Source organism: Homo sapiens, chromosome 9, assembly GCF_000001405.40.
Source record: "Homo sapiens chromosome 9, GRCh38.p14 Primary Assembly".
Classification (NCBI taxonomy): Eukaryota; Metazoa; Chordata; class Mammalia; order Primates; family Hominidae; genus Homo; species Homo sapiens.
In genome coordinates, this window is record NC_000009.12 from 102216520 (window position 1) to 102236370 (window position 19851).

Consider the following 19851-nt stretch of genomic DNA (forward strand, 5'->3'; position numbering starts at 1 on the left):
AGAAGCCTCATAAGAAATCAACTCTGCTGGCACCTTGGTGTTGGACTTCTAGCCTCCAGAATTGTGAGATAATGAACTTCCCATATTCAGTTTGTAACCTCCCAATGGGTTACCCATTGCCTAGACAGAGCCGATTTAACAAGAAGGGGAAATTGCAGTAGAGAAAGAATAATTCACACAGAGCGGACTGTGCAGGAGACTGAAGTTTTATTATTACTCAAATCAGTCTCTCCAAGTATTTGGGGATCAGACCTTTTAAGGACAACTTCATGGGTGGGAGGAAGCCAGTGAGCCAGGTGTTCTCATTGGTTAGGTAGCAGATGAAGTCATAAGGAATTGAAGCTGTCCTCTTACACTGAGTCAGTTCCTGGGTGGGGGCTACAAGATCAGATGAGCCAGTTAATACATGTGGGTGGTGCTAGCTGATCCATCAAGTGCAGGGTCTGCAAAATATCTCAGGTACTGATTTTAGAAGCAGTTTAGGGAGGGTGAGAATCTTGTAGCCTCCAGCTGCATGACTCCTAAATCTTAATTTCTAATCTTGTGGCTGATATTAGTCCTACAAAGGCAGTCTAGTCTCTGGGCAAGAAGGAGGGTTGTTTTGGGAAAGGGTTGTTATCGTCTTTGTTTTAAACTATAAACTAAGTTCCTCCCAAAGTTAGTTCAGCCTATGCCCAGGAATGAACAAGGACAGCTTAGAGGTTAGAAGCAAGATGGAGTTGGTTAGATTAGATCTCTTTCACTGTTTCAGTCATAATTTTGCAAAGGCTGTTTTAAGGCTACCCAGTTTGTGGTATTTTGTTACAGCAGCTCTCACAAACTAATGCAGTGAGTGACTGTTTAAGTAAAGATGCTATTGTGTTTCTATATTCTCATACTTGTACCTACTAAGTAGCTAGAGATTAGAAAAATTAAAAAATTTGGCCAGGTGCAATGGCTCATGCCTGTAATCCCAGTACATTGGGAGGCCAAGGCAGGTGGATCATCTGAGGTCAGGAATTCGAGACCAACCTGGCCAACATGAAGAAACCTCATCTGTACTAAATATACAAAAATTAGCTGAATTTGCTGGTCGTGGTGGTGGGTGCCTGTAATCCCAGGTACTCTGGAGGCTGAGGCAGGAGAATTGCTTGAACCCGGAAGGCAGAGGTTGAAGTGAGCCGAGATTGTGCCATTGTAATCCAGCCTGGGTGACAAGCAAAACTTCGTCTCAAAAAAAAAAAGAAAAAGAAAAAGAAGAATTAAAAAATTGAAAGTCCTTGCAAACTAGACATCTATCAAAAGCATAAAAATGAAATTTTAATATACAACATGAAAAATAACAATATATAAATGTTTACTTAGGGATAAAGTTAAGAGTTAGCATAACCTATATAACATATATTTTTTCTTTTTTTTTATTATTATACTATAAGTTTTAGGGTACATGTGCACATTGTGCAGGTTAGTTACATAGGTATACATGTGCCATGCTGGTGCGCTGCACCCACTAACTCATCATCTAGCATTAGGTATATCTCCCAGTGCCATCCCTCCCACCTCCCCCCAACCCACAACAGTCCCCAGAGTGTGATGTCCCCTTCCTGTGTCCATGTGTTCTCATTGCTCAATTCCCACCTATGAGTGAGAATATGTGGTGTTTGGTTTTTTGTTCTTGTGATAGTTTACTGAGAATGATGATTTCCAATTTCATCCATGTCCCTACAAAGGACATGAACTCATAATTTTTTATGGCTGCATAGTATTCCATGGTGTATATGTGCCACATTTTCTTAATCCAGTCTATCATTGTTGGACATTTGGGTTGGTTCCAAGTCTTTGCTATTGTGAATAATGCCGCAATAAACATACGTGTGCATGTGTCTTTATAGCAGCATGATTTATAGTCCTTTGGGTATAGACCCAGTAATGGGATGGCTGGGTCAAATGGTATTTCCAGTTCTAGATCCCTGAGGAATCGCCACACTGACTTCCACAATGGTTGAACTAGTTTACAGTCCCAGCAACAGTGTAAAAGTGTTCCTATTTCTCCACATCTTCTCCAGCACCTGTTGTTTCCTGACTTTTTAATGATTGCCATTCTAACTGGTGTGAGATGGTATCTCATTGTGGTTTTGATTTGCATTTCTCTGACGGCCAGTGATGATGAGCATTTTTTCATGTGTTTTTTGGCTGCATAAATGTCTTCTTTTGAGAAGTGTCTGTTCATGTCCTTCGCCCACTTTTTGGTGGGGTTGTTTGTTTTTTTCTTGGAAATTTGTTTGAGTTCATTGTAGATTCTGTATATTAGCCCTTTGTCAGATGAGTAGGTTGTGAAAATTTTCTCCCATTTTGTAGGTTGCCTGTTCACTCTGATGGTAGTTTCTTTTGCTGTGCAGAAGCTCTTTAGTTTAATTAGATCCCATTTGTCAATTTTGGCTTTTGTTGCCATTGCTTTTGGTGTTTTGGACATGAAGTCCTTGCCCATGCCTATGTCCTGAATGGTAATGCCTAGGTTTTCTTCTAGGGTTTTTATGGTTTTAGGTATAACGTTTAAGTCTTTAATCCATCTTGAATTGATTTTTGTATAAGGTGTAAGGAAGGGATCCAGTTTCAGCTTTCTACATATGCCTAGCCAGTTTCCCCAGCACCATTTATTAAATAGGGAATCCTTTCCCCATTGCTTGTTTTTCTCAGGTTTGTCAAAGATAAGATGGTTGTAGATATGTGGCATTATTTCTGAGGGCTCTGTTCTGTTCCATTGATCTATATCTCTGTTTTGGTACCAGTACCATGCTGTTTTGGTTACTGTAGCCTTGTAGTATAGTTTGAAGTCAGGTAGTGTGATGCCTCCAGCTTTGTCCTTTGGCTTAGGATTGACTTGGCAATGTGGGCTCTTTTTTGGTTCCATATGAACTTTAAAGTAGTTTTTTCCAATTCTGTGAAGAAAGGCATTGGTAGCTTGATGGGGATGGCATTGAATCTATAAACTACCTTGGGCAGTATGGCCATTTTCATGATATTGATTCTTCCTACCCATGAGCATGGAATGTTCTTCCATTTGTTTGTATCCTCTTTTATTTCCTTGAGCAGTGGTTTGTAGTTCTCCTTGAAGAGGTCCTTCACATCCCTTGTAAGTTGGATTCCTAGGTATTTTATTCTCTTTGAAGCAATTGTGAATGGGAGTTCACTCATGATTTGGCTCTCTGTTTGTCTGTTGTTGGTGTATAAGAATGCTTGTGATTTTTGTATATTGATTTTGTATCCTGAGACTTTGCTGAAGTTGCTTATCAGCTTAAGGAGATTTTGGGCTGAGACAATGGGGTTTTCTAGATATACAATCATGTCGTATGCAAACAGGGACAATTTGACTTCCTCTTTTCCTAATTGAATACCCTTTATTTCCTTCTCCTGCCTAATTGCCCTGGCCAGAACTTCCAACACTATGTTGAATAGGAGTGGTGAGAGGGCATCCCTGTCTTGTGCCAGTTTTCAAAGGGAATGCTTCCAGTTTTTGCCCATTCAGTATGATATTGGCTGTGGGTTTGTCATAGATAGCTCTTATTATTTTGAAATATGTCCCACCAATGCCTAATTTATTTAGAGTTTTTAGCATGAAGGGTTGTTGAATTTTGTCAAAGTCTTTTTCTGCATCTATTGAGATAATCATGTGGTTTTTGTCTTTGGCTCTGTTTATATGATGGATTACATTTATTGATTTGCGTATATTGAGCCAGCCTTGCATCCCAGGGATGAAGCCCACTTGATCATGGTGGATAAGCTTTTTGATGTGCTGCTGGATTCGTTTTGCCAGTATTTTATTGAGGATTTTTGCATCAATGTTCATCAAGGATATTGGTCTAAAATTCTCTTTTTTTGTTGTGTCTCTACCAGGCTTTGGTATCAGAATGATGCTGGCCTCATAAAATGATTTAGGGAGGATTCCCTCTTTTTCTGTTGATTGGAATAGTTTCAGAAGGAATGGTACCAGTTCCTGCTTGTACCTCTGGTAGAATTCGGCTGTGAATCCATCTGGTCCTGGACTCTTTTTGGTTGGTAAGCTATTGATTATTGCCACAATTTCAGATCCTGTTATTGGTCTATTCAGAGATTCAATTTCTTCCTGGTTTAGTCTTGGGAGAGTGTATGTGTCGAGGAATTTATTCATTTCTTCTAGATTTTCTAGTTTATTTGCATAGAGGTGTTTGTAGTATTCTCTGATGGTAGTTTGTATTTCTGTGGGATCGGTGGTGATATCCCCCTTATCATTTTTTATTGTATCTATTTGATTCTTCTCTCTTTTTTTCTTTATTAGTCTTGCTAGCGGTCTATCAATTTTGTTGATCCTTTCAAAAAACCAGCTCCTGGACTCATTACTTTTTTGAAGGGTTTTTTGTGTCTCTATTTCCTTCAGTTCTGCTCTGATTTTAGTTATTTCTTGCCTTCTGCTAGCTTTTGAATGTGTTTGCTCTTGCTTCTCTAGTTCTTTTAATTGTGATGTTAGGGTGTCAATTTTGGATCTTTCCTGCTTTCTCTTGTGGGCATTTAGTGCTATAAATTTCCCTCTACACACTGCTTTGAATGTGTCCCAGAGATTCTGGTATGTTGTGTCTCTGTTCTCATTGGTTTCAAAGAACATCTTTATTTCTGCCTTCATTTCGTTATGTACCCAGTAGTCATTCAGGAGCAGGTTGTTCAGTTTCCATGTAGTTGAGCGGTTTTGAGTGAAATTCTTAATCCTGAGTTCTAGTCTGATTGCACTGTGGTCTGAGAGATAGTTTGTTATAATTTCTGTTCTTTTACATTTGCTGAGGAGAGCTTTACTTGCAAGTATGTGGTCAATTTTGGAATAGGTGTGGTGTGGTGCTGAAAAAAATGTATATTCTGTTGATTTGGGGTGGAGAGTTCTGTAGATGTCTATTAGGTCCGCTTGGTGCAGAGCTGAGTTCAATTCCTGGGTATCCTTGTTGACTTTCTGTCTCGTTGATCTGTCTAATGTTGACAGTGGGGTGTTAAAGTCTCCCATTATTGTGTGCGAGTCTAAGTCTCTTTCTAGGTCTCTAAGGACTTGCTTTATGAATCTCAGTGCTCCTGTATTGGGTGCATATATATTTAGCATAGTTAGCTCTTCTTGTTGAATTGATCCCTTTACCATTATGTAATGGCCTTCTTTGTCTCTTTTGATCTTTGTTGGTTTAAAGTCTGTTTTATCAGAGACTAGGATTGCAACCCCTGCCTTTTTTTGTTTTCCATTTGCTTGGTAGATCTTCCTCCATCCTTTTATTTTGAGCCTATGTGTGTCTCTGCACGTGAGATGGGTTTCCTGAATACAGCACACTGATGGGTCTTGACTCTTTATCCAATTTGCCAGTCTGTGTCTTTTAATTGGAGCATTTAGTCCATTGACATTTAAAGTTAATATTGTTATGTGTGAATTTGATCCTGTCATTATGATGTTAGCTGGTTATTTTGCTCGTTAGTTGATGCAGTTTCTTCCTAGTCTTGATGGTCTTTACATTTTGGCATGATTTTGCAGCGGCTGGTACCAGTTGTTCCTTTCCATGTTTAGCGCTTCCTTTGGGAGCTCTTGTAGGGCAGGCCTGGTGGTGACAAAATCTCTCAGCATTTGCTTGTCTGCAAAGTATTTTATTTCTCCTTCACTTATGAAGCTTAGTTTGGCTGGATATGAAATTCTGGGTTGAAAATTCTTTTCTTTAAGAATGTTGAATATTGGCCCCCACTCTCTTCTGGCTTGTAGGGTTTCTGCCGAGAGATCAGCTGTTAGTCTGATGGGCTTCCCTTTGAGGGTAATCCGACCTTTCTCTCTGGCTGCCCTTAATATTTTTTCCTTCATTTCAACTTTGGTGAATCTGACAATTATGTGTCTTGGAGTTGCTCTTCTTGAGGAGTATCTTTGTGGCATTGTCTGTATTTCCTGAATCTGAACCTTGGCCTGCCTTGCTAGATTGGGGAACTTCTCCTGGATAATATCCTGCAGAGTGTTTTCCAACTTGGTTCCATTCTCCCCATCACTTCCAGGTACACCAATCAGACGTAGATTTGGTCTTTTCACATAGTCCCATATTTCTTGGAGGCTTTGCTCATTTCTTTTTATTCTTTTTTCTCTAAACTTCCCTTCTTGCTTCATTTCATTCATTTCATCTTCCATTGCTGATACCCTTTCTTCCAGTTGATCACATCGGCTCCTGAGGCTTCTGCATTCTTCACGTAGTTCTGGAGCCTTGGTTTTCAGCTCCATCAGCTCCTTTAAGCACTTCTCTGTATTGGTTATTCTAGTTATACATTCTTCTAAATTTTTTTCAAAGTTTTCAACTTCTTTGCCTTTGGTTTGAATGTCCTCCCGTAGCTCAGAGTAATTTGATCATCTGAAGCCTTCTTCTCTCAGCTAGTCAAAGTCATTCTCCATATAGCTTTGTTCCGTTGCTGGTGAGGAACTGCGTTCCTTTGGAGGAGGAGAGGCCCTCTGCTTTTTAGAGTTTCCAGTTTTTCTGTTCTGTTTTTTCCCCATCTTTGTGGTTTTATCTACTTTTGGTCTTTGATGATGGTGATGTACAGATGGGTTTTTGGTGTGGATGTCCCTTCTGTTTGTTAGTTTTCCTTCTAACAGACAGGACCCTCAGCTGCAGGTCTGTTGGAATACCCTGCTGTGTGAGGTGTCAGTGTGCTCCTGCTGGGGGGTGCCTCCCAGTTAGGCTGCTCAGGGGTCAGGGGTCAGGGACCCACTTGAGGAGGCAGTCTGCCTGTTCTCAGATCTCCAGCTGCGTGCTGGGAGAACCACTGCTCTCTTCAAAGCTGTCAGACAGGGACATTTAAGTCTGCAGAGGTTACTGCTGTCTTTTTGTTTGTCTGTGCCCTACCCTCAGAGGTGGAGCCTACAGAGGCAGGCAGGCCTCCTTGAGCTGTGGTGGGCTCCGCCCAGTTCCAGCTTCCAGGCTGCTTTGTTTACCTAATCAAGCCTGGGCAAGGGTGGGTGCCCCTCCCCCAGCCTTGCTGCCGCCTTGCAGTTTGATCTCAGACTGCTGTGCTAGCAATCAGCGAGACTCCGTGGGCGTAGGACCCTCGGAGCCAGGTGCAGGATATACTCTCGTGGTGCGCCGTTTTTTAAGCCTGTCGGAAAAGCTCAGTATTCGGGTGGGAGTGACCCGATTTTCCAGGTGCCGTCCGTCACCCCTTTCTTTGACTCGGAAAGGGAACTCCCTGACCCCTTGCGCTTCCGAAGTGAGGCAATGCCTCTCCCTGCTGTGGCTCGAGCAGGGTGCGCGCACCCACTGACCTGCACCCACTGTCTGGCACTCCCTAGTGAGATGAACCCGGTACCTCAGTTGGAAATGCAGAAATCACCCGTCTTCTGCGTCGCTCACGCTGGGAGCTGTAGACCAGAGCTGTTCCTATTCGGCCATCTTGGGAAAATTTTCAGTCCTGTATAACATATTAAGAAAGCAATATAGCCTGTTATTTATGAGTACTTAACTTTGCCACTTGTTATATTCATGTCCAAAGGCAAGTGAATTAATTTTCTGTGCCACGAATTTCCAGGGATATTGCTGAGAACTTACCTTATTCCTTTATTATAGAACTAAAAAGACAATTTATGTAAAGCAACACAGTGCCTGTTGTATATTATTGCTTAAAAAGTGTTAGTTATTTTTGTCGTTTATTCATTTATAAAAGGAAGTATATTAACAGTTATCAGATTGTTTACTTATAAGATTTGACCAAAGATACACTTGAAAAGCCATTATCACTTTTCCAAAATGAATTCTGTTAGCTTTTCATCAAATAGATAAAAACATGTCACTATTGTGTTCCTCTTCAAAGATACCGTATTAGGTTTCTTTGTTGTTGTTGTTGTTTTGCTTTTGTTTTGTTTTTGCAATGTGAAGCTGATTAGATTACTTCCAGATCTACTTTATGTGTTAATTATTATAATTCTACAAATAATGGGTTTGATTTAAAATATTGTGCTAACCACATAATTTTTACTTTGTTCAAGTTCAATTTATTTTTCTAAAAGTTTAAAAAGATGATTTAAAAAAATCCAAAGCCTCCAGTAGCTTACCGTTTTACCAGTCTAGTTAGTATGATATTTTAAGCATAATTTAGGACATTATTGGAAGATATGCAAAAACATGGGGCAATTATATCGAAAGAAAATAAATATTTAGTAGTAACAAAATTGAGGTTCACTGTTGTGGAACTTGATGAGACCCTGATGTGTAACCAGTTCCAGGAGGGCTATTTTGTTTTGTTTTGTCTTTATTAACAAAAATAACAGAAAGAATAACAGTTATAGTACAGTAAAAGTTTTATGGGTTTTGTAGAGAAGAAGGGGTAATTAGGTTCTGAGCTCTTTGGAGCCAATAAGCCACTATCTGGGTTTTGCCTTCAAAAGCAAATTTAGAAAATTTATACAACAGCAAGTTTAGACTAAAATACATATTTTTTTAAAAAACTACAAAGAGACCTCTTTTTTTTGAAGCTTTGATAGGGTAAAATAAACCTAGAAGCTGTTTACTATAAAGTTAGTTACTCTAAAGTTTGATAGAGATGGTGGAATACAAATGTAGGCGAGGATGTTTTTGTACCTGAAAGTCTGCAAAAAGTGCAAAAGATACAACAGAGTATTATTTTAGACAGTAATTGATGCTGATATAATAGCAGTATGTCATTAAATTGTCCTTGGGTAATCTAATTCCTGAAATTTTACTCCTTATATAATGTCTCTTGCTTATTCATAATAAGATGTCCTAATATGAAATCTATCAAGTACTTTAATTTCTGAAACTTAATTTTAACCTATTACTTGTCTTTCTAGTTTCAGTTCAGCCATCATCTCCTTTAAGACATCTACTTTATTCCTTTAGTCTGTGTCAAGGACAATTCTTATTTGGTAACAATTATCATGTGTGTACCACTATTGTAGCATTTATCATATTCTAATTTGTGTTGCTTATTAGGCTGTATGACTTGCATGTTTTAATTATCTGTCCCTTCTTCTAGCACCATGAGGACAATGTCTGCTTATTTTTCTTCTTCATTAATCTTTATTTGTAATCTTAGCACCTAGAATAGTATTTGCAAGAGAAGGTGCTCAAAATAACTTTAATTAATAAATGAACAATTGTGTATGAACTAGTCCCATTTAAAAAGTACATTTACACATTTCAGAGTTCCACTTCCATGTGATGGAAACTATTAGAATTCAAAGAATAAAAATATAAAGGAAAATAACCTCCTCTTTCTTAGCAAATCCAAGTATATTGTAACACCACAGGGAAGGTCAGAAAGTTCTTCTGTTCTATGTTACTCTACTATTATAGAGTTTACTTTTCAAGTTAATATCAGGCCCTATGATATATCAGAGCAATTTCTGGACTTTGCTACTTTGTATCTTCTTGCAGAGCTTATTATGAAAAGAATGCAGTGTTAGCACAAAGTTCCCCCACAGTGCTAGGCTGGGAACCATGGGTTTTATCTTTCAATGTCCCCATGTGAGCAATTCCCCTATGCTGGGAGGTCCCTCTGGACATACACCCTGAAGACTCTAAGAAAATAGCTAAAAATATGACTGAATATTTCACAGTTTTTCTTTCCAAAACAAAACTATGGGAATTTTATGGAATCTAAAGGGGTTACTAGAGATAAAAATGGCTTTTCCTGTGAGTCAGAAAGAGTCACAAAAATAGCTGACACAAGCAAATGTGGCAGTTGCAAACTGCACGCAAAAGATATTTGATAACACTAAGCATTCTCCACAAGGTAGAAAACTCTGCACACTAGAACATAAGGTAGTTAGATTTGAAAATGAAAACAAAACACAAAAAATAGAAAGTGTTGACAAGACCTATGTTATAAAATACATAACACAACACAATAATACAACATTATACCCTAGACTTCAGTTAACTCCTGTGTAAATGCTGCTTTTAAAGCCTGATCTGGCTGCCTTAGAAGTTTCCCATGAGGACTAAATAAAATGACAAATGTGCGAACGTGATTTTGAAATGCAAATGACTGTACAAATACGACTTGCCCATGGTGTGGTTAATCATAAACAATAGGTGGAGAAATTATGGATGTAATGATAGCTTCATCTAAGCCTAAGAGGAAGAAACTACTCATGCCCATGTGAGTTCTCTACCTCTTTGGGTGATTATCTCTCCCCTGCTTACTACTCTTCAAATGCACTGGACATCAGTAGGTCGTCAAATATGCCCGCGACTTTCCCTCCTCAAGCCTGTAACTCAAGCCTTTCCCACTGCTCATGTCACCCTTCACCCAGTTCTTCACAGGGCTCAATTGTTCTTAGCCTCACATAAAAGCATCTTGTCAGGGAGAAGTCCTCTCTGACCAATCTGTAGAAAGCAAGCCTTCCTTCCCAGTTGCTCCTAATTTTCAATGTCAATATCCATTAACTGATTTTTCTTCACTTACCGATATTGATTATAAATACAGAAATTTTAAGAGACGTTTAGCTTGAGTCTCCCTCAGTCCACTGTAAGCTTTATAGTTAGCCTGTTTTGTTGGTCTTAAATATCCAGAAAAATTCATAGTGCCTGTCACATAGTAAGTGCGGTTAAATAAGTGAATAATGTGGTTTCTGGGTAAATTTTTATGATTTCAATTTACCTATAAATTTGGATGATATAAACTACCTCCATGTTTCTTTCTAAAATCAACACTCTTAAATACATTGACTATGGGAAGAAATCCTTGTATGCTGTATCCCATTTGTCTCTTAAGATACCTATTTTTGCTACACATTTCACTGTGTAAACAGTAAAGAGGAAATAAAGGAGGCTGGAAAGAATGGAGCATGTGCAGAAAAAGAAAGACTGAAAGATCACTAGGTATTGTAAGATGGAATTGGTCAGTATGTAATATTGGATAAATCATTTAACTTTTGAATTATGGTTTATTCAATTATAAAATATAATTGTTGGAATAGATAATTTTAACTTTCTTCATATCAAAGCTATCCTAGGGGAGTGTTTTATTTTTATTTTTTTTTTTGAGACAAAGTTTCACTTTTGTCACCCAGGCTGGAGTGCAATAGTACGATCTCGGTTCACTGCAACCTTTGCCTCCCAGGTTCAAGCTGTTCTCCTGCCTCAGCCTGCCAAGTAGCTGGGATTACAGGCACCCGCCACAACACCTGGCTGATTTTTGTATTTTTAGTAGAGATGGTTTCCCCATATTGGCCAGGCTGATCTTGAACTCCTGACCTCAGGTGATCCACCAGCCTCAGCCTCCCAAAGAGCTGGGATTATAGGCGTGAGCCACCACACCCAGCTGGGAGGGAGATAAAAACTAAGCAAAAAATATTCATTTTGAATTATAGATATAGGTGTATGTTTGAAAGTAATATGATTTATATCTATAATGCATCTTATAATTTCTGTTATAAAATATATACTTATATATCTAATATATAATTACATATGTATGTAAAAACATATGTTTAAGAAAAATATACTTAAGAAGTACATATTCTGCAAGTATTCTATAAGCTTGGAGTGGTGCTATAAAATTGCAATAAATACGTAACATTAAAATAGATGGTGATACACTAGAAAAAATGTGTTAATAAAAGTCACGTGGTAAAGCACACAAGTTAATGCTACAAAGGTTGATATTTCAAAAGAATAACAGTTGTTTCAAGATGTTTTCCTTCCTTGTTCTGTTTCGTTGTCTTCTACTGGTTGGTTTGCCAATTCCAACCAAGGAAACACACTTAACAGACTGATTTGAAATTGATTTTATTAGTTCAGCCGTCTGTAAACATTCTCATGCATCATTAATATTATACATTGCAAAGAACCGCTTTCCTTAAATTGTAGATTTTTGGATATAAATTCAAGACTGTAGTAAATAATTGTCTGACTGTGAAATGAACACTTGTAGTATATGCACTCATGAGTTAGCTGAAGTGTATAATTAAGATATACATTTTAGTGTGGCTTATTAAATCACAAAACACAAAAAAGCCATTGGAATTTGAATGATTGTAAGGAGTAATAAGATTTGATAGAGGTTACAATGACAGATAGCATTTTGTTTGATATTTCAAGTTTGGTAAAATTACACCTGAATTGAGAATTCTGAATGCTTTATGTATGTATCAGGTGCTATCTAAAATAAGGCAAATAAAAGTTTAATTAACTAAGAAGTTCTAAACTATTGCAATACCTTTTAGAGTAGCAAAGTATGTGACTGACCAAGTTGAATGAGCATTTCCATTTCCATATAAAGTGCAAGAGATTTAAAAATATGCTTTTTTGCTTCTATTTGTAAATCTTAAATTTCTGAAAATGATCTTCTCCCTGCCAAAATTTCTATTCTTTGACTGTTTTACTCACCTCCCAATTCTGATTTATGACCAGATCAGATTGATGCCATGTTTCACAAGAGGCAACTGATCTGTCCACATTTTTTTTAACTGCACCGCGACCTCCCTATTCCAAGTCATAAGCATCTCATACTCAGATTATTGTAACCTGCTCACTGGTCTCAAAGGTTTTATATCTCCACTTCTTCATTCTGTTATTTAATCAGCTGTCAGAGTGATCTTAAAATGTAACTTGGAAATGGCTCTTTCTAGCTGTTCTTGTGTGGGACTTAAGTTCAGATCACATTATTGCACTCTTGTGAGCAACTTATACCGCATTTGCAGTACTCCTCTAGCTCCATAGTAAATGACTTCTAAGCACCATGCAGAATAACAATTCTTTAATTGTTCTTCCTTATTTAATTTGCACAGAAACCCTGTGAGGTAGATGTTATTAGATCCACTGTGTATATGAGGAAATTGAGGTTTGTAAGTCACATGACATGTCTCATCTAAGCAGTGACAAAAGCTGGAATCCAGGTACAGAGAGTTGTGACCCAAAACCCATGAACTTTCTATTGTATCATTAGAAACATAAGGATCCCAGTAAATCAGGTGAGTCTCCCTTTTAATTTATGTTTCTCCTTCCCCAACCATTAACACTGATCCAATATTTACTCATATCAGCTTGTCTGAGAATGTTATGCTCGATAGTAGGTAGAAAATCACAAGTGAAGTGCCAGCCCAAAAAAGCAGTCAAATGGATCTTTCTCTTCTCTTTTCACCCCTGATTACTATCCTGTGATGACTGGTTATTGCGTGATAAGCCTCCAAGTTTCTCATGCCATTAAATCACTATATTGCTGCCAGGTTTTGCTCAAAGGAATGAACATCCATTTCTCTTTGTCATTTGGTGCCATATGTCATTGTCTCAGATTTGACTGGAAGAGAGTTGGACTTGTGCACTTTTAATACTTCTGCCCCGCTGCAGAATCTTGCAAGCTCATATCAAGTTTCCAATAACTACATTGTCTTGAAAATAATAGTTGGCTTAATAAAAATCCTCTCTCCTCACTAAGTTTTTAAGCTACAAAGGCTGTAAGGATATTATATTAGTAATGTCGTTCTTGGACAGTTATGACTATTGAGGGGAAGATAGCCAAAATATACCCAGCCTCTCCCATGTATCTGGCAAGAATAGTGTATAAAAAGCAAGACTGAATCTGCTCTCAAATAGCTACGACTTTGAGATTATCAAGAACATGAGATATTTGTAGTTTGTTACTTGGCTTGTGTCCCAAGTCTATCTCTTTGTGGCCTCTATGGCCAGTAAGTGCTGGATCACACTATCTTCTGTAGTCTTGCCCATACTGTGGATAGGAACATGGTCACTCTACACACTGTGTCTTTCCCAGTTTGTTTTCCAGGTCCAACTTCTGGGGCTTTTGTGTATGCTACAGCCAGTCATATCATAGACCAAAGATCACCTAGTTTACCCTGTGGAATGAATTGAGGGAAAATTTGCTGATAGGACACATGATAGTAAAAGCTCTAGAAAGGCACAAAGGCCTAAGTGTATAGTGGCAACTCTGTTTTTCCAAAGGAATCTTAGTTTAAATAAGATTCTAAAGTCTGGGGCATAACTTCTACAAAACCTATGATGGTAATGGACTCCACAGTTCATGTCTCGAGCATGAAATAGCTTCTGAGGAACCATCCCATGGGTGTTACCATTCAGCTCTGCCAAATCACATTCTCCCAGAAGGAATGTTTGGATTCTGAGGCTACCTGTCAAGTTTTTCTAAACTTAAAGTTTTCCCATTACCCTTCATCATGTTCAAACTTTCCACCTTCCTTCCAGTTTCTGTCCTGTACTCCAAATTAAGTCTTCTAATCTTCACTCAGGGATGGAATTTGGGGAGGTGCTAAACCTTTGTTACCCTTCAGAAGGGTGTACTATGATGTTATAGGCAATAGGCTTAGCTCCCTTATCTCCTGTAAATTATTAAAGAAATTATCCCCACCACACTTACTAAAAGCAGTAAGAGACATTCTAATATAGCTAGGGTATTTCATTCTAGTTTAAATCTATTTACTCTTCTTTTTCCCAGTGTAATTATTAGTAATGCTTCCTTTCAGTATCAAAAAAATTTGACAAAGTGTGATCACATTTTCTACAATCTACAATCTATACTTCAAGGTACTAGACCATTACTTACAACTCTCTGAACCTGATGAATTCTGTAACAACATATATCACTAACCCACAATTCTCCTTGTATATAACTTTCTCCTCTCCTCCAGCTGTATTGGCACCTTTCATACACCATCAGTATATAAATTATAGTTGTTGATTTGTTTCCTTCTAAGAACAACAACAAAAAAACCCGAACATATTTGTGTGTGTTTGAAATGTTTTATATGTTTATAGGAAATATGTGTGTATATAAAATGTTACATGTAATGATATACATGCATACATAAATTTTGGTTTTTAAAATATCTATATAGAGAGAAAAAAAAGAAGAGAAATTTGACTGTATTGTATTGTGATATAGACTTAATCAATAGACTGGTCCTCCCTCCCTCCCTCCTGTTTGCTTTCTTATTTTTAAAAATGGTGAACTTTGAATTTAAGTTTTATAGTGGTAAAAAGTAACTTGGATCAAATCAGTTCCTTTGCTCAAAGACCTTCACCACTGATCATCCCAATGCACTTACCCTTAACACAGTCCACGAGGTCCTGTGTAATCTGACTCATTACATAAATTATCTTTTATGTTTGATTACATGGAATTCATGTCCTTTCTATGCTCCAGCAGAGGGAGGTTCTTTCAGTTCCTTGGTGCACCAAGCTACTTTATGCCTCAGAACTGATTATTTCTCTCATGTTCTAGACTCTACTTTTCTAAATCTTACACCTGGAAGGCCATTTAGGTAAGCCTCATCACCCTCCTTTATCATCAATGATTCTTGCTTTCACTAGTTAATTTCCCCCTGATACTTAATTGGATTCCATGGAGATAAACACAGAAATGTTTATTTAACATCTTTGTCACACTTTGAATCCTGAGCACTTAGGTATGGTAGAGATTTGTGCCCAAAGTCTCAAAAGGTGGAACTTTTAAGTAGTTTTAATAATTTTTGTCCCTCAACTAGGAAGGCTCAAACTCAGTCCATACTGAAACGGGAGAGTTCCCTGATTCCCCTCACAGGTGTGCGACAGGGGTGTGGCTTGCCTGCTCCATCACCGGACAGCTCAAACCCATGGGGGGAACATGCAGGTGGGCAGGTGCAGAGGCCGGCCAATGCTTCTGGGCTCCAGCCTTTTGGTAATGTCTAGGGAAGGGCACCTGCAATCCCAGTGTTACAAAGCTCTTTCAGCTCTGCCATCTGCAGATGGGATGAGTGTTAATCAGCTCAATGGACCCTCTTCCTTCTGGCAAGGGCAGAGGGACAGTGTGACTGCTTCCTGTATCCTGAGCTCTTGCCCAGCATACTGAAAGAATCAGATCACACATGGGCTCCAAGGAGGAGTGCAAGGTTTTATTGAGTGGTGGAGGTGGCTCTCAGTGAAATGGATGGGGAGCCGGAAGGTGGGAATGGAGTGGGAAGGTGATCTTCCCCTGGATTCTGACTGTTCTCAGCCTATGTTCAGGTGCCTCTTCCCTACTCTGCCACGACACCCCGCCACTCTGTGCTGCTCTTGATGTTCAGCTGCTTGTGTGTGTGCCCACTAAGGTTTCGTGTTTTCCCCCTTTTTGATCTTGAAATTACATGTGTTTTTATTTCTCCTCGATAGGAGTTGATGTCTTTTGATATCTCACCACTGACCTCATTTTTACCTCATTTGCTAGATCTTACCACTTTGCTAATACTCTTTAAAAGTAATTTAACTGACTCATTTCAGTGCTAATATCTTGTTATAGACACAGTCTAAATATATGGTAACTATAACATATAATTATTTAAATAATAAACTATTAGTTTATTTTTTGTAATGCTATCTTATTATTAGCTACTAAGTGCCTTATGTGACCAGAGATCAATAAATTATTTCTCTTCTCTGCTTGAAGTTTCAAATTAGAAACACATTTGAGTGATGAAGCTAGAGCTATTTTACAAGGTTGACTGCTATTATTGGATTGATGAATTTTAAGATGTGGACATATGTGAGAGGCTCACCCAACAGACTTCACTGGTTTCTAGGTAAGAAATTGATGTCAAATAAGGAAAGGAGGTAGGAGTAGTAGTAATTGTATATTATGAGGAATTTTCTATGTCTCTCATTTTGTGTTTCAAGATCCTTTATCATCTTTTAAACTCATGTATAAAATCATATATTAGCTCCAGAATTACTGAAATATACACTCATAATTTCCATGAGTTGTCAAAATTTTTGTGATTTCTAAGCCTTAGCCTTTTCAGTTTGTATTTTAAATTCTAGGATAATTGTTGGTTAATATATTTGTATCTATCTTGTTAAAAAAAAACAGATACTCTACAAAGAACAACTGTTAGGTATATTGACGAAAACTATTATGTCTTTGGAAGGCATTGGTTAAATATGAAAAACAACCTGGAAAGAAAAAAAGACATCTTTCACTTTAGAAATCAGTTTTTATTAAAATGAAACAAAATATTGTATTTTAACATCACTTCTATTGACCTCACACATTGGGATAAAAAAACCAAACATGGCATGTGTTTCCATTTACTTCATTTATTCACATCATCTTTCATATTCCACAAAAACATACAGTATATTTCTTCAAAAAGATTCTATGTTACTCAGGTACAATTGACTCCTAGAATTTTGATTTTTTTTCTGTTATGATTGATTGTCTATTAAATATCCTAACAGATTTTCATTGGTATATAAGAAAGTTGTTTTAAATTTGTGTTACAATTTACCTTGAATAAAATGTGCCTTTTGTGAGTGAAATCCCTGTTTATCAACAAAGGGACCACTTGCAGATCTCTGAACCTCCTCTCTTCAGTTTTCCCCTCTCTGAATCCTCAGCAACTCCCCACAAACTCAACTGTCTGTCGCTTTCTCTGTCTTCAATGTATCGGTATCTGAAAAGGGCTTCCAGCAGGGCGTGGTGGCTGGCTCACGCCTGTAATTCCAGCACTTTGGGAGGCCTAGGCAGGTGGATCGCTGGAGGTCAGGAGTTTGAGACCAGCCTGGCCAACAGGTCGAAACTCAGTCTCTACTAAAAATACAAAAATTAGCTGAGAGCAGTGGTACACCACTGGGGTGGCTGAGGTACGAGAGAAACGCTTAAACCTGGGAGGCGGAGGTTACAGTGAGCAGAGATCATGCCACTGCTCTCCAGCCTGGGCGACAAAGTGAGACTCAGTTTCAATGAAACAAACAAAACAAAGACCTCAATAAACCAAAAAAGGGCTTCCAGATACAAAGCCTCCAATATCATAAAGGCTAATTTTGTTTTGTTTGTTTTCTTTCTTAGGAACCACAGTTATACTGCTATCCAGTATCTGAAAATAAATGTTTCCTATATTTTATTCAGTTTTCTAGTTGTTTGTTTATGGTGGGAGGGCTAGTCTGATATTAGTTTTTCTCATGACAATGGTGGGAGGGCTAGTCTGATATTAGTTTTTCTCATGACAAGATGTAAAAGACCATGAATATTAATATTGGCACATTTAATTTGTATAAAACTATATTATAAAACAACTGTTTTATTACTTCAAAAAAATCCAAATGATTTTTAATTGGATTAATTTCCTTTTAAGTAAATAATTCACCATAAAGAGTGTTACTTTTTTCCTTAAATATTGTAGTGCTAATAAATTACAGAATCAATCATGTGAACTAACAATGTATTTTTATCTTGTTCTGGACTTAAAAGTGAATGGTTTTAATGAATGTTAGTTTATGATTGGAATTTATTTTCTTTAACAAAATATTTTAAGAATATTAAGAGAAATTTCATTTTTTCTAATGTCTTCTATTACACTATTGCTTTACTAAACCATTCTGGTATTCCTGAAATAAATTCTACTTGATAAAAAGGCATTTATTATTTTTTAATAACTAAATGCTAGTATTTTGTTTTGGAATATTTGCAATTATATTCGCAACTGAAATGAGCTCATATTTTTATAATGATACATGGTTGTGGAATAGAGTTACATTGTTTTGCTAAATGAGTAGTGGAATTGACCATTTGTCTATCCTTTACTTTTACAAAATTTATATGGAAATAATAGAATAATTTTAAAGAGCAAATTCTTTTTATTGTTTCAATGAGGTATAATTGACATACAATAAGCTCTACATACATAGAGTGCACAATTTAAGAGTTTTGGCTGGGTGCGGTAACTCATGCTTGTAATCCCGAGGCCGAGGAAGGCGGATTGCTTGAGCCCAGGAGTTTGAAAGGAACCTGGGAAACATAGCAAAACCCCATCTCTACAGAAACTACAAAAATTATACTGGCACAGTGGAGTATGACTGTAGTTCCAACTACTTGGCAGGATGAGGTAGGGGTATCGCTTGAGCTAGGAAGGCTGAGGTTGAGGTTGCAGTGAGCTGAGATTGTGCCACTGCATTCCATCCTGGGTGACTGACAGAACAAGACCTGTCTCAAAAACAAAATGCATTTTGACATACATATACACTTGTGAAACCATCACCACAATTAAGATAGCATCCACACATCATCTTGTTCATTTGCAATCCCTTACTCTCCTTCTCCTCTGCAGACAACCATTGGTCTCCTTTCTGTCACTATAGATTAGCTTGTACTTACTAAAGTTTTACAGAAATAGTATCATGCATTTTAAATTACTTTTTTAACACAACAGTTATTTTGAGATTTATCCATGTTGTCCACATTTTATTGTTTTCATTGCTGATTACTAGTATTTCATTCCATAGATATATTACAATTTGTACTACTGATAGAATTTTGTTTTGTTTAGTTTTTGGCTATTATAAATAAAGCTTCTATGAATATATGTATGCAAGTTGGTGTGTGGACATATACTGTCATTTCTCTCAGGTGAATACTTACTTAAGAGTAGAATGCTGGGTCATAGCATATGTGTATGTTTAACTTTTATATAAACTTCTAACCTGTTTTTACAAAGTGGTTGTATTGATTTAGATTCCCATCAGCAGTGTATAAGAATTCCAGTTGTTCCAGGTCCTTGCTAACACTTGCAAGGTGTGTGTAGGATGTTTATAGTAGTATCTGATTGTGGTTTTGATTTGCATTTACTGCATACTGACAAAGTTGTGCATTTTTTATAGGCTTGTTGGCCACTCCTATTCCTCTTTTGTTGAAGCATTTGTTAGATTTTTTGAAAAATTTTATTTTATTTTTACTAATAATTGAGTTGAAGAGGTTTTTTTTATATTTTTTAAATGAAAGTCCTTTGTTGGATATATGTTTAGCAAATATTGTTTCTCAGTCTGTGACTTGTTTTATCATTTCTGTAATAGTATCTTTGAAAATTGTTCTTAAAAATTTTGATTAAGTTTAATGTGTTGA

General features: G+C 37.4%; 1 long non-coding RNA gene across 1 annotated transcript in view; it reads left to right on the forward strand.

The window, feature by feature from the left end:
- Window positions 1-381: 381 nt before the first annotated feature.
- LOC105376188 (uncharacterized) overlaps window positions 382-19851 on the forward strand; it is a 42808-nt gene continuing 23338 nt past the window's right edge. The window contains exons 1-3 of the long non-coding RNA XR_930188.3: window positions 382-459; window positions 12761-12943; window positions 16405-16537. This is a non-coding gene — a long non-coding RNA (uncharacterized LOC105376188). The remainder of the gene's footprint in view (window positions 460-12760; window positions 12944-16404; window positions 16538-19851) is intronic.